The sequence below is a fragment of the Homo sapiens genome, chromosome 5 (genome assembly GCF_000001405.40).
Source record: "Homo sapiens chromosome 5, GRCh38.p14 Primary Assembly".
NCBI classification, from domain to species: Eukaryota; Metazoa; Chordata; class Mammalia; order Primates; family Hominidae; genus Homo; species Homo sapiens.
The window spans coordinates 55,705,851-55,725,186 of record NC_000005.10 but is presented as its reverse complement, the minus strand read 5'-3'; the positions used below and the strand labels follow the sequence as shown (position 1 = coordinate 55,725,186).

The following is a 19,336-nucleotide window of genomic DNA, read 5'->3' as shown; positions in this document are numbered from 1 at the left end:
TTTGAGTTCTGTGAGCCACTCCAGCAAATTAACTGAACCCAGAGAGGGGGTCATGGGAACCCCAACTTGAAGCTTGTCCACCAGAAGTTCCAGAGGCCTGGACTTGCAACTGGTGTTGTGAGGTTGGCGGCAATCTTGGGCACTGAGTCCTCAACCTGTGGAATCTGTTGCTATCTCCAGTATCAGAATTGATTGGAGGACTCCCAGTTGGTGTCCGCTGCAAAATTCATTGCTTGCTTGGTGGTGGGGAGAAACCCAAGAAACACGCTTGGTCACAGAAGACTTTTTCTGTGTTGATGACTGTTGTCATGGTAGTATGAGAGCAGAGGAAAAACATGCATTGAGAGTTTCTCCCAAACAGTAACAAACCTTATTCAACTCACTTTAAAAATAACAAAACAAAACAAACAAACAAAACAGTGAAGGAGATTTATCTGAGAAGAATACAGAATGAAGATCAGAGTTGTAGGAACCCAGACATCAGTCCTAGACTTAGTGCCACTAGTCTAGGCACTCTAACTCCATGCATCAAGCAGAGATGTCTTTGTTCTAAAGACAGGCTCTCTTTATGCTGCAGGGAAAATGATGACTACCGTCAGCCCCAGAATCAAATTCATCTAGTTTAGCCATCTGGTGAACAAATAAGCAACTCCAGGAAGAGAGTTTCTTTCTCTTCCTGTCTAGACACCAATTCTAGGGAAAGACTCTGATTTGCCTTTTGAGTCATGTTCCCCATATGGGAGGATGACGTAGAATGACGAGGCCTGGGTAAGACCAAGGGAGCAGGGTCTACTATCAGAAGAAAGGGAAATTTTTACTGGGCAAATAAGAGTAGCTATCTCCGTTCCCTAAAGAAAGCTACAATGACCCCTTGCATGTTGATAACTCTCAAATGTAGAGTTCCACATCTGGCCACCCAGCAGCCCACTAGATACCTACAGTCAGATGTTTTACAGCTACTCTTCACTCAGCGTTTCCAGTGCTGAATTCATCCTCTCAACCTCTCCTCCCAATCTGTTTTCCCTCTTTATTCTCAATCTCAATGAAGGACACTACCATTCACAGACTTGTGCAACTCCCAAACCTGGGAATCCTATTCTTTACTCCTCAATATCCACCACTCCCCACATTCAGGTAGTAAAATCTGTCAATTCTACCTCGGATATCTTGAATATCCTAATATCTTATACGTTGAATGCTCATTTATCTGTTCTCCACTGTCACTAATGTAGTTTGGTGGTTATCATCTCTCATCTAAACTACTCCAGTATCCTTTTCTGACTTTTTGATTTAAAGTAGTACCCTCAAAGCATTATACTGTACAATGGCACCCAGTTTATTTATGTAACAGAACTTACCATAACATCTATTTATTAAATAAAATGTTTACTTTTAATTGTTATTATTATTGTTTTTCTCCTTGACTTGAATATAAGTTCCTTCTTGGAAGAGACCATGTCATTCCTATTCACTTCTAGTAGATTAGGGTGTCTAAATCAACTCAAACTGGTGTGGTGAGGTGGGGGGCAGACTTGGGGACTGAGTTTTGTCCAACTAAGCAGGCACGGAGTTTTTTACAACACACAGAGTTTTTTATAACTTATATTTATTGCTAAATAAATATGAATTTTTCTCTTAACAAGCAGGCATAAAGTTTTTTACAACTTATATTTTATACCTTTGTATTTTTACAACCTATATTGCTAAATAAACAAATATTGTAAAAAAAAAACTCTATGCCTGCTTAGTTAGACAAAAAGTACCATTAAACAGGTAGATTTTGTTAGAGGAAGGAAATGAGTGGAGAAAAAGTGTGGCACTCAAATTTTTCCCTTTGTTAATCTTTTTTATTTTATTTTATTTTTTGAGGAAGAGTCTTGCTCTGTCGCTCAGGCTGGAATGCAGTGGTGCAATCTTGGCTCACTGCAACCTCTGCCTCCCGGGTTCAAGCAATTCTCCTGCCTCAGCCTCCCAAGTAGCTGGGACCACAGGTGTGCACCACCAGGCCTGGTTAATTTTTGTATTTTTAGTAGAGATGGGGTTTCACCATGTTGGCCAGCCTGGTCTCGAGCCTCTGGCCTCAAGTAATCCACCCACCTCGGCCTCCCAAAGTGCTGGGATTACAGGTGTGAACCACAGGGCCCCACTGTCCCCCCAATTAAACTTACTGTGTTTCATTAATCTTCTTGAATCTGAAGTTTTATTTTTCACAACATTAGGGGAATTTTCCAGATTTTATTTTTATTTATTTATTTTTTTGAGACAGAGTCTCACTCTGTCACCCAGGATGTAGTGCAGTGGTGCAATCTTGGCTCACTGCAACCACTGCCTCCTGGGTTCAGGTGATTCTCCTGTCTCAGCCTCCTGAGTAGCTGGGATTACAGACATGTGCCATCATGCCCAGCTAATTTTTTGTATTAGGTTGTATAGGGTTTCACCATGTTGGCCAGGTTGGTTTCGAACTCCTGACCTCAGCTGATCCACCCACCTCAGCCTCCCAAAGTGCTGGGATTACATGCACGAGCCACAGGCCCCAGCTGTCCCCCAAATTAATCTTATTGTGTTTCATTAACCTTCTTGAATCTGATGTTTTATTTTTCACAACATTAGGGGAATTTCCCACCTTTTATTTCTTCAAATATTCTCTCTCTCCTCATTTTCTAGGAAAATAATTTCATTTATGTTAGAACTTTTGATATTGTCCCATATCAAAAGGGTCCCTGAGGCTATTTTTTTCAAACATTTACTTCTCTGTTGTTCAGATTATACAATTTCTGTTGATTTATCTGCAAGTTTACTGACTCTTTTCTGGCACTTCCATTCTGCTGTTAAGCCTATGCAGTAAAAAGGTGAATTTTTAATTTCAGATATTAAAATTTTCAGGGATGTTTTGTACTTTATATATGTCTGGTTTTTAGTTCTCTGCTAATATTTCCTACTTTTTCATCATTGTGATCTTATTTCCCTTCACATCCTTGACTTAGTTTAATAGCTACTTTAAAATCTCTGTCTACTAATTCAAACATCTGGGCATCTTAGAACTGGTCTCTCTGTTAGTTGTCTTTCCTCTTGAAAATGGGGTGTGTTTGGCTGGGCGTGGTGGCTCACACCTGTAATCCCAGCACTTCGGGAGGCGGAGGCGGGTGGATCATCTAAGGTCAGGAGTTCGAGACCAGCCTGGCCAACATGGTGAAACCCTGTCTGTACTAAAACTACAAAAATTAGCTGGGCATGGTGGCAGGCGACTGTAATCACAGCTCCTCGGGAGGCTGAGACAGCAGAATCGCTTGAACGCGGGAGGTGGTGGTTGCAGTGAGTGAGATGGCGCCACTGCACTCTAGCCTGGGCAACAAAGAGTGAAAATGTGTCTCAAACAAAAAAAAAAAGAAAAGAAAATGGGGTGTGTTTTCCTGTTTTTTTCTCATACGTTGAGTCACTTTGTATTGTATCCTAGACATTATGATTTAAAAAAAATCTTCAAGTAAATTTTTATTGCTACTAAAAATGACACAGAAAAATGAAAGCAGAGGATTCAAATGAGTTAATATTCATATTAAATATTATGATTAACTGCCACATGATGCATATGATGCATGTGTACTATATAGTCAACTGTCTCTAGCCATGCATAAAATAAAACATAATACAATCCCAGCATTTCCTCTTTTATTAAGAGCTTAGAATATGACTGATCCTTTAATGTCATTTTTTAAGTATGGTATTTTGTAGAAACTGTGGATTATTTTATGTTCCCTCAAAAAAACATTGATTTTCTTTGTTTTAGGAGTCACTTCACTTATTTGGACTCAAACTGCAAACTCTGTCTCATGGGTGGCAACTCAAAAAGCAGTTTGGGTCTTTAATTTTTAACTGGACTACTTAGAATTTATTCTACATGCATGATTTAGTGGTCAGTGAAAGATTGGGTAGAGTTTATGCATAAAATTTGGGGTTCTACCCTCTTTTTTACTTATGGTATTCCCCCTTACTTTCCAGCAGCTGATCGTCTCAAATTCTGTCCTCTAGTTTTTTAGACCAGAAAAGCGGTGATCTACCAGATTTCCAGCCACTTCTCATGATGCAGACTGGAGCCTACTCTCATGCTGGAATCTGCAAAAACAGGGGAAACTGACCTAGTGCTGTTCCCTTGTTTCAAATGTTATCTACCCTCCTGCTTTTGCTTACTCTTTAGTGCCACAGATGGCATTTATTGTATTTTGTGCAGAGGTCAAGAATTTAGTTACAAGAGAAGGTTCGTGTGTTTGGAGCTTATGCAGCTCTTACAAGAAAAAACTCCACTCAAACATTTGGTATGAGGTTTAAATTTTTGTAGAACAATTGAATGAGAATTGAGGGTTGTAGTGTGCAAGAGCTGTAGATTCCAGATTAGAGAATTTAGAAGAATTTGGATCAATCCTAGTTGTTTCCGACACTGTAAGTCTTTGCCAATCTATTTTTGATTCAATTACATGCTTTTGGTAGTTTATCCGGACTCTTCCCAATCAACTCTCATTTTTTCATCACATACCAGTCAATTTTCTAAGAATCTGTCCATTTCTTCTAGCTCATTGAATTTGTTAACATATAATTGTTCATAGTATTCTCTCATAATCCTTTTTATTTCTGTTAAGTTTGGTAGTAATAACCACACTTTCACTTCTCTTTTAGTAATTTTCTTCTTTTTTTCTTACCAGTCTAGCTAAAGGTTTGTTGATGTTGTTGATCTTTTGGAAGAACCAACTATTGGTTTTGTAGATTCTCTCTATTGTTTTCTATTCTCTATTCCTTTTTTTTTTTTTTTTTAAGAGAGACAGGGTCTTGCTCTGTCACCCAGGTTAGAATGCAGTGACACAATCATACAGCTCACTGCATCCTTGAACTCCTACGTTCAAGCAATCCTCCCATCTCAGCCGCCCAAGGGATGGACTTCAGGTGCATGCCACCACACCCAGCTATTTCTCTATTTTTTTGTAGAGACAGGATCTCACCATGTTGGACAGGCTTATTTTTTAAAAAAAATCAATTATCTCGTCTAAAATCCTAATTATTTCCTTTCTCCTGCTAGCTTTGGGTTTACTTTGCCCTTATTTTTCAAGTTCCTTAAGGTGGAAAGTTTGATTATTGATTTGAGATCTTTCCTTTTCTTTTTTTTTTTTTTTTTTTTTGAGACAGAGTCCCACTCTGTCATCCAGGCTGGAGTGCAGTGGTGCAAGCTTGGCTCACTGCAACCTCCGTCTCCCAGGCTCAAGAGATCCTCCTGCCTCAGCCTCCTAAGTAGCAAGGATTACAGGCAGGCACCACCATGCCCAGCTAATTTTTGTATTTTTAGTAGAGACAGGGTTTCACCACATTACCCAGGCTGATCTCGAACTCCTGGGCTCAAACAGTCCTCCCACCTCAGCCTCCTAAAGTGTTGGGATTACAGGCATGAGCCACTGCACCCTGTTCAATAAGTTTTAAAAGACTAAAATCCTACAAAATATTTTTGGATTTTTCGTCTCTAAAAAAATACAAAAACTAGGTGGGCATGGTGGTGTACACCTGTGGTCCCAGTTACTGGGGAAGCTGAAGTGGGGGGGCGTATCACTTGAGCCTGAGAGTTTGAGGCTGCAGTAGGCCATAAGCATGCCACTGCACTCCAGCCTGAGTGACACAGTGAGACCCTGTCTCAAGAAAAACAAGAAAAAAAACAAAGAAACGAAAAACAACTTATTGAGACTTGTTTTGTAGCCTAACGTATAGTCTATCCTGGTAAATGTTCCATATGCACTTGAGAAAAACATACACTGTATTAGTCCTTTTTCATGCTGCTGATAAAGATATACCCATGACTGGGCAATATACAAAAGAAAGAGGTTTAATTGGACTTACAGTTCCACATGGCTGCAGAGGCCTCACAATCCCAGCAGAAGGCAAGGAGGAGCAAGTCACATCTTACATGGATGGCGGCAGGCAAAGAAAGAATGAGACAGAAGCAAAAGTGGAAACCCTTTATAAAACCATCAGATCTTGGGGTCAGGCACAATGGCTCATGCCTATAATCCCAGCACTTTGGGAGGCTGAGGTGGGAGGATCACCTGAGGTCAGGAGTTTGAGACCAGCCTGACCAACATGGAGAAACCCTGTCTCTACTAAAAATACAAAATTAGCCGGGCATGGTGGCGCATGCCTGTAATCCCAGCTATTCAGGAAGCTGAGGCAAGAGAATCACTTGAACCTGGGAGGCAGAGGTTGCAGTGAGCCAAGATTGTACCATTGCACTCCAGCCTGGGCAACAAGAGCGAAACTCTGTCTCAAAAAAAAAAAATCAAAACAAAAAAACCATCAGATCTCATGAGACTTACTCACTGCCACAAGAACAGTATGGGGAAGACCACCCCCATGATTCAATTATCTCACACCACGTCCCTCCCACAACGTGTGAGAATTATGGGAGTACAACTCAAGATGAGATTTAGGTAGGGACATAGCCAAACCATATCATTATGTCCCTGGCCCCTGCCAAATCTCATGTCCTCATATTTCAAAACCAGTAATGCCTTCCCAACAGTCTCCCAAAGTCTTAACTCACTTTAGCATTAACTCAAAAGTCCATAGTCCAAAGTCTCATCTGAGGCTGGGTGCAGTGGCTCACACCTGTAATCCCAGAACTTTGGAAGGCCAAGGTGGGGGCATCACCTGAGGTCCGGAATTCAAGACCAGCCTGAACAACATGGTGAAACCCCATCTCTACTAAAAATACACAAATTAGCCAGGTGTGGTGGTGGGTGCCTATATTCCTAGCTACTCAGGAAGCTGAGGCAGGAGAATCACTTGAGACCAGGAGGTGGCGGTTGCAGCAGTGAGCTGAGATCATGCCACTGCACTCCAGCCTGGGTGACAGAGTGAGACACTGTCTTAAAAAAAATAAAAGTCTCATCTGCGACAAGCAAGTCCCTTCCACCTATGAGCCTGTAAAATCAAAAGCAAGTTAGTTACTTCCTACATACAATGGGAGTACAAGCATTGGGTAAATACAGCCGTTCCAAATGGAAGAAATTGGCCAAAACTAAGGGGCTGCAGGCCCCATGCAAGTCCAAAATCCAGTGGGGAAGTCAAATTTTAAAGGTCCAAAATTATCTCCTTTGACTCCATGTCTCACGTCTAGGTCACGCTGATGCAAGAGGTAGGTTCCCATAGTCTTGGGCAGCTCCACCCCTGTGGCTTTTCAGGGTACAGCCTTCCTCCTGGCTGCTTTCATGGGCTGGCATTGAGTGTCTGTGGCTTTTTCAGGCACATGGTGCAAGCTGTCAGTGGATCTACTATTCTGGGGTCTGGAAGACGGTAGCTCTCTTCTCACAGCTCCACTAGGCAGTGCCCCAGTAGGGAGTGTCTGTGGGGGCTCCCACCCTACATTTCCCTTCCACACTGCCTTGGCAGAGGTTCTCCATGAGCACCCCCACCCCTGCAGAAAACTTTTGCCTGGGCATCCAAGCGTTTCCATACATCCTCTGAAATCTAGGCAGAGGTTCCCAAACCTCAATGCTTGACATCTGTGTACCCGCAGGCTCAATACCATGTGGAAGCTGCCAAGGCTTGGGGCTTCCACCCTCTGAAGCCACAGCCTGAGCTGTACCTTGACCCCTTTTAGCCATGGCTCTGGAAGGAGTGGCTGGGATGCAGGGCACCAAGTCCCTATACTGCACACAGCACGGGGACCCTGGGCCCAGCCCATAAAACCATTTTCTCCAAGGCCTTGGGCCTGTGATGGGAAGGGCTGCCATGAAGGCCTCTGACATGCCCTGGATACATTTTCCCCATTGTCTTGGGGATTAACATTCTGCTCCTTGTTACTTATGCAAATTTCTGCAGCCGGTTTGAATTTCTCCTCAGAAAACGGGATTTTATTTTCCATTGCATTGTCAGGCTACAAATTTTCCAAACTTTTATGCTCTGCTTCCCTTATAAAACTGAATGCTTTTAACAGCACCCAAGTCACCTCTTGAATGCTTTGCTGCTTAGAAATTTCTCCTGCCAGATACCCTAAATCATCTCTCTCAAGTTCAAAGTTCCACAAATCTCTAGGGCAGGGTCAAAATGCCACCAGTCTCTTTGTTAAAACATAACAAAAGTCACCTTTACTCCAGTTCCCAACAAGTTCCTCATCTCCATCTGAGACCACCTCAGCCTGGACCTTATGTCCACATCACTATCAGGCGTTTGGTCAAAGCCATTCAACAAGTCTCTAGGAAGTTCCAAACTTTCCCACATTTTCATGTCTTCTTCTGAGCCCTCCAAACTATTCCAACCTCTGCCTGTTACCCAGTTCCAAAGTCGCTTCCACATTTTCAGGTATCTTTTCAGCAGCATCCCACTGTACTGGTGCCAATTTACTGTATTAGTCCATTTTCCCGCTGCTGATAAAGACATATCTGTGACTGGGGAATTTACAAAAGAAAGAGGTTTAATTGGACTTACAGTTCCACATGGCTGGGGAGGCCTCATAATCATGGCAGAAGGCAAGGAGGAGCAAGTCTCATCTCACATGGATGGTGGCAGGCAAAGAGATAACGAGAGAGAAGCGAAAGCAGAAACCCCTTATAAAACCATCAGATCTCATGAGACTTACTACCACAAGAACAGTATGGGGAAAACTGCCCCCATGATTCAGTTATCTCCCACCAGGTCCCTCCCAAAACATGTGGGAACTATAAGAAGTACAATTCAAGATGAGGTATGGGTGGGGACACACAGCCAAACCATATCATACACTTTGCTGTTCTTGGGAGGGAGTGATGTCCTATAAATGTCTGTTAGATCTAGTTGGTTTATGTGTTGTTCAAGTCTTCAACTTTTTTGTTGATCTTCTATCTGGGCCTTTATGGAATGCAAGGTGTTGAATTCTCCAACTATTAGGGTAGCACTGTCTAAAATTACATCTTTACATATTATGTGCTCATTAACATAGATTTATAATTATTCTTTTATGCATTTATTTTTTAAATCCTTTTTCCTTAAAAAAGAGGAGTTACAAATCCAAAAATAGAAAACTACTTACTTTTAATTTCACCTATGTAGTTACCTTTACTGATATTCTTTAGTTCTTCATATGGCTTTGAGCTACTCTCTCCTAGCCTCTTTTCAGGCTGAAGGACTTCCTTTAGTATTCCTTGTAGTTATGAACTCCTTCCGTTTTGTTGTTCTAGGAACATATTTATTTCTCCTTCATTTTTTAAGGATACTTTTGCCAGATTCAGGATTCTTTTTTGGCTTTTATTCGCAGCACTTACGTCATTCCACTGCTTTCTGAGCTCCATGGTTTCTGATGATAAGCCTACTGTTAATCTTAATGAAGATTCCTTATACATGACCAGTCATTTCTCTCTTGCTGTTGTCAAAATTCTCTGTTTTTGTCTTTTAACAATTTAATCACAATTTGTCTTGGTGTCGATCCCTTTCAATTTATCCGCCCTGAAGTTCATTGAGCTTCTTAGATGTGTAGACGCCTGTCTTTCATTAAATTTGGTAATTTTTCAGCTATTATTTCTTCAAATATTCTTTACACTCCTTTATTTTCTCCTCTCCTTTTGGAATTCCCACTGTGCAAATGTTTGTTTGATAGTGTCCCACAATCCTTACAGGTCTTGTTCATTTTTCTTATTTTTTCTTTCTGTTCCTCAAACTGTATACTCTTGATGTATCTTCAAATTCCCCAATCTTTCTTCTGCCTGCTCAAATCTGCTATTGAACCCCTCCAGTGAACATTATATTTCAATTATTGTGCTTTTCAACTCCAGCAACTCTATTTGCTTTCTTTTTATAATTTCTACCTCTTTAATAGTATCCTCTATTTATTGAACAATTCACTTTTCCTGGTTTCCTTTAGTTATTGTCTATTATTTTCTTTGTTCTTTGAGCATATTGAAGACAGTTGACAATGTCTGGGCTTCCCAAAGGAATGTTCTTTAAAAATGTTTTCCTTATAAATAAGCCATACTTTTTTTCTTTGCATGCCTCATAATTTTTTCTTGTTGACAACTGGACATTTTGTATATAATATGGTAATTATGGACATCTGCTTCTCCCACTCCCCACCAGAGTTTGTTGTTGTTTATTTCTTTTATTAAATGTCTCAAACCAAAAAATAAAAAGATAAAAGCCCAAAATGCGAGAAAACACTCCCAGTCTTTGCCAGTTAGCTATGTGTTCTGGCACCCCTTCAATGCTTAACGAGGTAGTTTACAACGCCACCTTAGCCTTCACTTCCTGCTTGCATGAAAGCTGACGGTCAGTCAGAGGTGAGAGTTTACGGTGTTCTTAGGTTTTTCTCTGAGTATGCATCCAGACCAGGGCATGCCGATGGCCTTCTAGATTCCCCAGAATAAAATGAAGCTTTCCAAAGCCTTTATTCCCCCAACTATCTCCTTCTCCAGCCTCTTCCTTCCCAGGATTTTTGGTCTGTTTATTGCTTGTCCTGGCTTTCATACCTTGCTTTCTGTGACACTGGCTGTTTGCCTTTAATGTTTTTGACAAACACTGCCTGGGAAGCTGCCTGAGCCCTGAGGAAGCTCTGAGGCAGGTGAAACAAAGGCAAGCCGTTGAGTTGAACCTTCAGGAAACCATCAGGGAGGTCAAAACACACCTACAATTCCTTGAGGATAAGGTCCATAGTGCTCCCTCTGGTGCCAGCAACCCACACCAGGAATGTGGCTGCCATCTTCAAGGCCACTGACAACTTGGAGAATAGAAGATGACCACAGAACTCTCTTACCAAAATTCAGCAGTTTTTTCTTCATTACATGTTCCCCTGGATTTTGTGAGTTTTTTTTATCAGTTTCAGAGTTTCCAAAAAAGGTGCTCCTGACAGTTTTGCCAGCTTATTCATTTTTGAGTTCCCTACTTTTTTCCCATTTTTTGCTGACATCATTTCATACTATTTACTTTTGTGTTTCCCAGCCTTGCTTGAAATTATTTTCTCAGCCTGGAATGCAGAAAAAAAAGAAAGGTTGCTATCACTGAAACTATCAAAAGAATGTATTACTGACTTGTGTTACTTGACCAGCCCTGACTTGAAGGCAGGGCCAATGAACAGTTAAAAAAGTTTTTGAACAAGAATACCATCAGCAAAACAACTTTTATCTCCCTTAAAGACAACATTCATTAAATCGTTTGCCTTGCATTTGTCAAGCCCTCCATAATAGACGCAATGTTTGAGAGCACGCAGGCTTTGGGATAAGATCTTAGTATGAATTCCAGATCTTCTGCCACTTAGTAGTTGTTTAGCCTTGTACAAGGCACTTAAATTCTCTGGGACTATTTCCTTTTCTGTAAGACAGGAAAAATATACATTTCTAGAGCTGTGATAAAGACTTAAAGAGATATTATCATTTCCAGAACTGTGGTAAAGACTTAAAAAGATATACACGTAAAATTCTTGGCATTCAATGTTAGCTATTTGTTAAATTTGAATTTTTATTTTATTTTATTTTAGAGACTGAGTCTCGCTCTGTCGCCCATGCTGGAGTGCAGTGGCACAATCTTAGCTCATTGCAACCTCCGCCTACCGGATTCAAGCGATTCTCCTGCCTCAGCCTCCAGAGTAGCTGGGATTACAGGTGCACACCACCACGCCTGGCTAATTTTTGTATTTTTAGCAGAGACGGGTTTCACCATGTTGGTCAGGCTGGTCTCAAACTCCTGACCTTGTGATCTGCCCTCCTCAGCCTCCCAAAGTGCTGCAATTACAGGTGTGAGCCATCGCACCCAGCCTAAATTTGAATTTTCAAGTTTAGGTTTTTTGTTTTGTTTCGTTTTGTTTTTGAGACAGGGTCTTGCTCTGTCACCCAGGCTGCAGTGCAGTGGCACCATCATAGCTCACTGCAGCCTTAACTCCTGGCCTCAAATGATCCTCCTGCCTCAGCATCCCAAGTAAGCTTGACTACAGGCAGGTGCCACCCTGCCCAGTTAATTTTTTAAATTCTTTTGTAGAAATGGGGTCTCCCTATGTTGCCCAGACTGGTCTCCAACTCCTGGCCTCAAGTGATTCTCCCACCTCAGCCTCTCAAAATGGTGAGATTACAGGCATAAGCCACGGAGCCGGTCTAAATTTTTAGTTTTTTTTCTGGCATTACAGACACTGTTTCTTCTGGTTTAAACAGAAAAAAGAAAAAGAAACAAAAAGAGCCACTGGCTTCCTTTGTAAGAAGAGCTTAGGGTGGCCATATGCTTTTCAGGGACTGACCTTGAACTGATTTTCATAACAAGCACATTAATTTTACTTAGACTGTATGTTTACTTGGGGAGGTTTTGGGGAAAATTGCTGGGTATGTGGGGTGGGCCTCTAAAATCCTTCTAAAGCCCCTTTTAGCCTAGAGACTAATTTGCAAACACATTTTTAAAAAACAAACCCAAATATCTAGACGACGGAGGGAGCATGCCAACTCAACAGTTTTTTCAAACCAGCTTCCCTTTGTGTCTGTAGGGTCCAAGGACGTAACCAGATCATACAACACGCGCCAGGAAAGCCCAAAAGAGGGGTGATCCCTCGATGGAGGTGCCGCATCAGCGTTTTCTCACGTGGCCTCCGGGGCTCTATGAATGGCAAGAGATTGCATTCCTTCTACTACCCCTCCCAGCCTCCAGCCGGGACAAGGAACTGGAGCAAACTCGGGGCTGCAGTTCCGACTGGACTCGCCCACCTGGGCGCGCCGGCTGCCCAGCCTCCTGAAGCCTCGGGGCTGGGCCCTGCGGTGATGGGCGTGCTGGCCGTCGCAGAGCCCTCTGGGAGTTGTAGTCCGTAGCGGCGAGAGGTTTGACAGCGACCGCGGGCTTGGCGCATTCAGAACTCCAACTCCCGCCGGCCCCTGCGACCCAGGCTATTGCCGCTTCCTGTTTGGACTAGGAGCCCCGCGGTCGCAAATTGCGAGAATTTGGGAAGGGAATCTTTATCTTCTCGTCTAGTTCTCCGAGGTTGAAGGCTCGGCCTGCTCAGGTAGATCACGTTCCCACGTCTAGCAAACTCGCCCCTCGGGGAGGTGGGAAGGTATCCGAGGGAAGGCGGCGGGAAGGGTTGAAGTTGGGGCGAAGCCGGCTGTCACCTGGGATAGTTCTTTGCAGCGCATCGGAACCGTCTCTTCTTTTGGGGCTCAGGGAGGCCATAGCCTGGAGCCGCGGAGACTGCTCCGGAGGCACGGCGCGCGCTCCTCAAGGGCTCAGGGAAAGAAAGTCAGGAGTCCCTCGGGGTCTGAGGAAATCCGAGTGTCTATGGGAGTCGGTGTCAGCTGGAGCCTTAGAGAAAAGATAGGGTTGGGGTAAATGAACACCCTGACCCTCGGGTGAGAGAAGGAGGGAGTAGGAGAATTGTGGGACTTGCAGGAATGGGAGCACCCTTCTTTCTCTCTCTTGAGATAGGGTCTTGCTCCGTCGCTTGGGCTTGAGTGAGGTGGCGCGATCACGGCTGGGAGCACCTTTCTCCATCCCGAGTTGGGGACATCTAGAGGGGGAACATGAGGGAGGAACCCCCTTTGGGCCTTGAGCTAGGACCACAGAGGGGGTGAGGGCCATGACTGGTAAGCCCTCGCCACGCTTTTCACACGACTCAGTTGTGAGAGTGAGTGTGTTGATAGTGGGTAGCTTGACATCTCAGCATAGTAAAGCTGGAAGAGGGGTTTGAGAGCAGCTAGTCAAGCGCATTCTCCTCATTTTACAGAGAAGGAAACTGAGGTCCACCGAGTTGGAGAAACCTACTCAACACCAGGTAACCATTTAATGGCAAACTCGACCAACACCTAATTGTCATGACTCCCAGGCAGTGTCTTATCCATTGCCGTGCTCTGTAGATGAGCACACTATAAGTTGTAAGTTGTACCTCCACCTTGTTTTCTTTTTTCTTTTCTTTTCTTTCTTTTTTTTTTTCAGACAAGAGTCTCGCTCTGTCGCCCAGGCTGGAGTGCAGTGGAGTGATCTCGGCTCACTGCAACCTCCGCCTCCCTGGTTCAAGCGATTCTCGTGCCTCACCCTCCTGAGTAGCTAGGATTACAGCTGCCCGCCACCACGCCCCGCTAATTTTTGTATTTTTAGTAGAAACGGGGTTTCACCATGTTGGCCAGGCTGGTCTTGAACTCCTGATCTCAAGTGATCCGCCTGCCTTGGCCTCCCAAAGTGCTGGGATTACAGGCGTGGGCCACTGCGCCCAGCCTCTTTTTTCTTTTTAATACCTTCAGACATGACAAAGATCTGACATATGTAGGATAGGCAGCTGCTGAGGAGAAAGATTTTTTAAAAACGTTTTGGCCAGGTGCCGTGGCTCACGCCTGTAATCCCAGCACTTTGGGAGGCTGAGGCAGGCAGATCACGAGGTCAAGAGATCAAGACTATCCTGGCCAATATGGTGAAACCCCGTCTCTACTAAAAAAAAATACCAAAATTAGCCAGGTGTGGTGGCACATGCCTGCAGTCCCAGCTACTCAGGAGGCTGAGGCAGGAGAATCGCTTGAACCCAGGAGGCGGAGGTTGCAGTGAGCTGAGATCGTGCCACCGCACTCCAGCCTGGTGACAGAGTGAGGCTCCGTCTCAAAAAAAACAAAAACAAAAACTAAACAAAAAAAGTTTCAATAGGTCAAAATTACCCATGTCCTAACTTGAGAAAAATCTCTCTGCCTCATAAACAACTACAAACTTCGTGTTAAGATAGAAGGTTCGGCGGATTGCGGTGGCTAACGCCTGTAATCCCAACACTTTTGGGAGGCTGAGGTGGGCGGATCATTTGAGGTTAGGAGTTCAAGACCAGCCTGGCGAACATGGTGAAACCCTGTCTCTACTAAAAATACAAAAATCAGCCAGGTGTGGTGGTATGCGTCTCATCTGTAATCCCAGCTACTTGGGATGCTGAGGCAGGAGAATTGCTTGAGCCCGGCAGGCGGAGGTTGCAGTGAGCCAAGACTGCACCACTGCACTCCAGCCTGAGCCACAGAGGGAGATCCTGTCTTAAAAAAAAAAAAAAAAAAGTTGTCACCTATATAGTTGCTTTGTTTCTAAGAAAATAAAATTTACCTTTCCTTCCCCTAGACTTCTGAGAACAGTTAGACTTAGATTCCTTTTCTTTTCTTTTTCTTTTTTTTTTCTTTTTTTTTTTTTTTTTTGAGATGGAGTCTTGCTCTGTTGCCAGGCTGGAGTGCAGTGGCGCAATCTCAGCTCACTGCAACCCCTGCCTCCCGGGTTCAAGCGATTCCCCTGCCTTAGCCTCCCAAGTAGCTGGGACTACAGGCACACGCCACCATACCCGGCTAATTTTTTGTGTGTGTTTTGGTAGAGATGGGGTTTCACCATGTTGGCCAGGATGGTCTTGATCTCCTGACCTCTTGATCTGCCTGCCTCGGCCTCCCAAAGTGCTGGGATTACAGGCGTGTGCCACACACGCCCAGCCAGTTAGCCTTAGATTTCTAATCACAATCTTAAATACTATATATTTCAGTTACATACATAAAATAATATGCTTTTAATTGTGATTTTATAATACTCTAAATACTTACAATAAAGGGTAAACTCAGCATAGGAGGATGGAATACCAACCTGAACTACAAATTGAAATAGTATTGTTTAGTATTTTTTTTTTCTTTTTGGGGTTAGGGGCAGAGTTTTGCTCTGATACTCAAGCTTTAGTGCAGTGGCACTGTCATAGCTAACTGTTACCTTGAACTCCTAGGTTCAAGCAATCCTCTTGCTTCAGCCTCCCAAAGCATTGGGATTACAGGCATGAGCCACCACACTGGACCTATATGGTATTTTTTAAAAAGTATATATGGGCTTAAAAGTTAAAAAAAAAAAATCACTTAGAGGTTAAAAATGTCTACCAGGCCTGCATTTTGTAACATACTTAAATTTCTGTCGTTTGCTAGGGTTTTTTTCTTTCTTACCACTGAAATATAACTTGAGAGCATTTAGTGTTCCCATTGTAGAAGGAGAGATTCTTTGGTACCACAGCGTTGCTTTGGTAATTTTTTTGTGAGACCACACTATCCTCCAGCACTGTCAAATTTAACGCCTTTTGAAGCATTTATTGATCAGGTTGGAAGCATGTTCCAACTGTCACATCAGAATAGGAGCATTATAGATCCTATTGGCTAACCAGTAAATGATTCATCAGGAAGAGATTTAGATAAGTTTGTTATTGGAGTTTATAGCTGTTACAGACTAATACAGAAGAAAATATATATACATAGCATAACTGCTTCCACCAGGGTGACTTTTTTGTGGTGTGGTTCCATTTGCTTTTATGTTGGCATACTACAGAGGTGAGTAAACTATGACCAAATTTGGCCTGCTGACAGATATATTTTTTTCATAAAGTTCTATTGGAACACAGCCATGCACACTCAATTGCCTTTCATGCTAACAGGTAGAATTGAGTAGCTGCAGAAACTATATGGCTCAAAAAGCCTGAAATATTTATTATCTGACCCTTTACAGAAAAAAATATGTCAACCTCTAGCCTAGGACACTGAGTATAAATGTAGTATCTGAAACTCTATAACATACACAAAAGTATTCAGTAATATTCATTTTTAGTCTCTGAGAAAGAACATATATAATAGTTGTATGTGGGTCCATAGTCACATTTATTTGGGCACAAGCTAGTGTATTCTATTGCAGATTGATGCTAGCATCTTGGCATAGATTCTATAGATTTATTTTTGCAAAGAATTGTGAAAAGACATTTCTGAGCCTAGTATGGAAAGGGCTGATATTCTTTGAGATACGCCAATAATCACAGTCAATACCTTTTTAAAATAATGTCATACCAGTTTACTTTGATTGCTCTCTATGTCCTTTTTACGGAGAGAAGTGCTTCAGTACAGGCACTAACATTTTTTGTTCTTTTAGAGACAGTCTCACTCTGTCACCTGGGCTGGAATGCAGTGGTGCCATTGTAGCTCGCTGCAATCTCGAACTCCTGGGCTCAAGCAGTTCTCTCACCTCAGCCTCCCGAGTAGCTGAGATTACAGGCATGAGCCACCATGCCTGGCTCAGTCACCAACATTTTAAATAAAAGTCGAAAGTACCAAGCAAGTCAACTAAGCTGTTCATTCCCTACTGGGACCTATCTCAGTCTCTTGGTGCTGCTCTAATGAAATACTTGAGGCTAGGTAATTTATAAACAATAGAAATTAATTTCTAGCAGTTGTGGAGGCTGGGAAGTCCAAGATCAAGCCACCTGCAGATTTGATGTTTGGTGAGGACCCGGTCTCTGCTTCCAAGATGGTGCCTTGGTGCTGTGTCCTCACATGGGGGAAGGGATGGAAAGACAAAAGGGATCTAGCTAGTTCCCTTCAAACTTTTCATAAGGTTACTAACTCCATTCATAAGGGTTCTGCCTTCCTGACATAATTACCTCCAAAAGGGTCTACCTGTTAATACTATAACATTGGCAATTAAGTTTCAACATATGAATTTTGGACGGGACACAAACATTCAAATCATAGCTGGACTCCTTATTAAAACCAATCTTAAACAATTAGAGACTCATTTAATGACTTAGATTTGACTTAGTGGTCTTGCATCTGGGACTTTGTTTTAAAACTCAGAGATTGAGTGAGATGTTAAAAGTGATTATGTCTGGGTTTTGTTTTGAGACAGAGTCTTGCTCTGCAACCTCTGCCTCCTGGGTTCAAGCAATTCTCCTGCCTCAGCCTCCCGGGTAGCTGGGACTACACGTGTGTGCCACCACTGCTGGCTAATTTTTGTACTTTTAGTAGAGACAGGGTTTCACTATGTTGGCCAGGCTGGAATATGTCTGTTTATGTCATCTTGTATATTTAGCCCCTACCAAATTATATCAATGTAATGTCTGACAAATTAATACTATAGAAGTATTTAGCATTTTTGTTAATCATTGATAAACTATTCTGCATTATCACCTATGTAATATTTGCTGTGGAACTCTAATTCACCTCTCAACCTAAGTCATCAAACTTCGGGATATTTTATACTTCTCATCAAGACATTCAAAAAAGCTTTAAGACTAGGCATGGTGGCTCATGCCTATAATCCCAGCACTTTGGTACTTTGGGAGGCTGAGGCAAGAAGATTACTTGAGGCCAGGCTGGGCAACATAGTGGCGCACAGCTGGGATCCCAGCTATTTTAGAGGCTGAGGTGGGAGGATAGCTTGAGCCTGGCGGGAGGAGGTTGCAGCAAGCCCAGATGGCACTACTGCACTCCAGCCTGGGTGACAGAGTGAGACCCTGTCTCAAAAAAAAAAAAAGAAAGCATATCTGTTGTCACCTGAAATTCTCAGGAGCAACGAGTACAGTTGTTTCTGTTGTGACAAAACTTGCACCATCTACACAAAAAAATAAAAATTAAAAAATTTAAATAAAAAAATTCCACCTTGGCTCTGTGTGGGGAAAAAAGGAGGGGACATTAAATTTCTGTTGAAAATTTAACATCATGCTAATTGACTAATTGAGACAACTGCAAATTACCAGTTTTCTTACAGTTCTTCATATTTACTTGAATATTATAAATCTTTGAAAGGCACCAGGGACTTTGAACTCCTCATTTATGATTTGTTATTTGAAATCATCAGTTTTCTACTTATTTAGAATAAATAGCTAATTCTGCTATGCTGCAGAACTTTGGATTTGCTCAGAACAAATACACATAGGTGACTAAACTGGAAATTTTAATTCCTCAGTGGCCCTTACATTTTTCCCCAACCTTGATTTCACTTTTTGATAAGGTTCACTGAAATCCAAGGATCTTTCTAGATTTCTCCTCTTTCCTGGTTTCTTCACTTTCAATCTTTAAGTAAAGTATTAATTTCCAGAAAGTGAAAGGATCTTCTCTCTCTAAACTCACCCACATTCTCAGTTTAGTTTAGGAACCAATACTACAGAGTATATTGGTTTACAAAGTAAATTAGAAAGTATAGCCATATATTTCTGCCATTGTTTAGGCAGATATGTTTTTGCTACTCTGACTTGGCTTCTGTCCTTTCCCTTGTTTCACTGCCACTGGAAGGGTTGTTGCTGGGTAAGGAAATATTGAGCCTTGAGACAAAAAATTTTGCAACAAAAGAAATTTACCTAAACTAGCTTGCTTCAAGAAAAACAGATTCATGGTGTTTAATGTGTAATCCGGATACCCAGGCATGAAATTTCACTCATTCTAGCCCTGATTATGTCTTAAAGAGTTTAAAGCCAGCCAGGCACGGTGGCTCCTGCCTGTAATCCCAGCACTTTGGGAGGCCGAGGCAGGCAGATCACAAGGTCAGGAGTTCGAGACCTGCCTGGCCAATATGGTGAAACCCCGTCTCTACTAAAAATACAAAAAAATTAGCTGGGTGTGGTGGCAGGCAC

General features: G+C 42.5%; 1 protein-coding gene across 44 annotated transcripts in view, besides 5 other annotated features; it reads left to right on the top strand.

The window, feature by feature from the left end:
- Positions 11,957 to 12,600: an enhancer, noted in NCBI's record as "H3K27ac hESC enhancer chr5:55008415-55009058 (GRCh37/hg19 assembly coordinates)". NCBI's record gives its function as "activates a minimal SCP1, AML or CMV promoter by ChIP-STARR-seq in naive H9 embryonic stem cells {active_cell/tissue: H9 hESC(naive)}" and the evidence as "EXISTENCE:reporter gene assay evidence [ECO:0000049][PMID:30033119]".
- Positions 11,957 to 12,625: a biological region, named in NCBI's record as "H3K27ac hESC enhancer GRCh37_chr5:55008415-55009058".
- Positions 12,436 to 12,625: an enhancer, noted in NCBI's record as "active region_22558". NCBI's record gives its function as "activates an Ori minimal core promoter by ATAC-STARR-seq in GM12878 lymphoblastoid cells {active_cell/tissue: GM12878}" and the evidence as "EXISTENCE:reporter gene assay evidence [ECO:0000049][PMID:35858748]".
- Positions 12,716 to 12,765: an enhancer, noted in NCBI's record as "active region_22557". NCBI's record gives its function as "activates an Ori minimal core promoter by ATAC-STARR-seq in GM12878 lymphoblastoid cells {active_cell/tissue: GM12878}" and the evidence as "EXISTENCE:reporter gene assay evidence [ECO:0000049][PMID:35858748]".
- SLC38A9 (solute carrier family 38 member 9) overlaps positions 12,852 to 19,336 on the top strand; it is an 86,491-nt gene continuing 80,006 nt past the window's right edge. For 43 of the 44 annotated variants that reach the window (NR_146165.1, XR_007058583.1, XR_007058582.1 and 40 more), the window contains exons 1-2: positions 12,852 to 12,970; positions 13,688 to 13,735. The gene's annotated coding sequence lies outside the window, so the exon portion shown is untranslated. The remainder of the gene's footprint in view (positions 12,971 to 13,687; positions 13,736 to 19,336) is intronic. The other variant, NM_173514.4, reaches the window with a different exon arrangement.
- Positions 13,336 to 13,415: an enhancer, noted in NCBI's record as "active region_22556". NCBI's record gives its function as "activates an Ori minimal core promoter by ATAC-STARR-seq in GM12878 lymphoblastoid cells {active_cell/tissue: GM12878}" and the evidence as "EXISTENCE:reporter gene assay evidence [ECO:0000049][PMID:35858748]".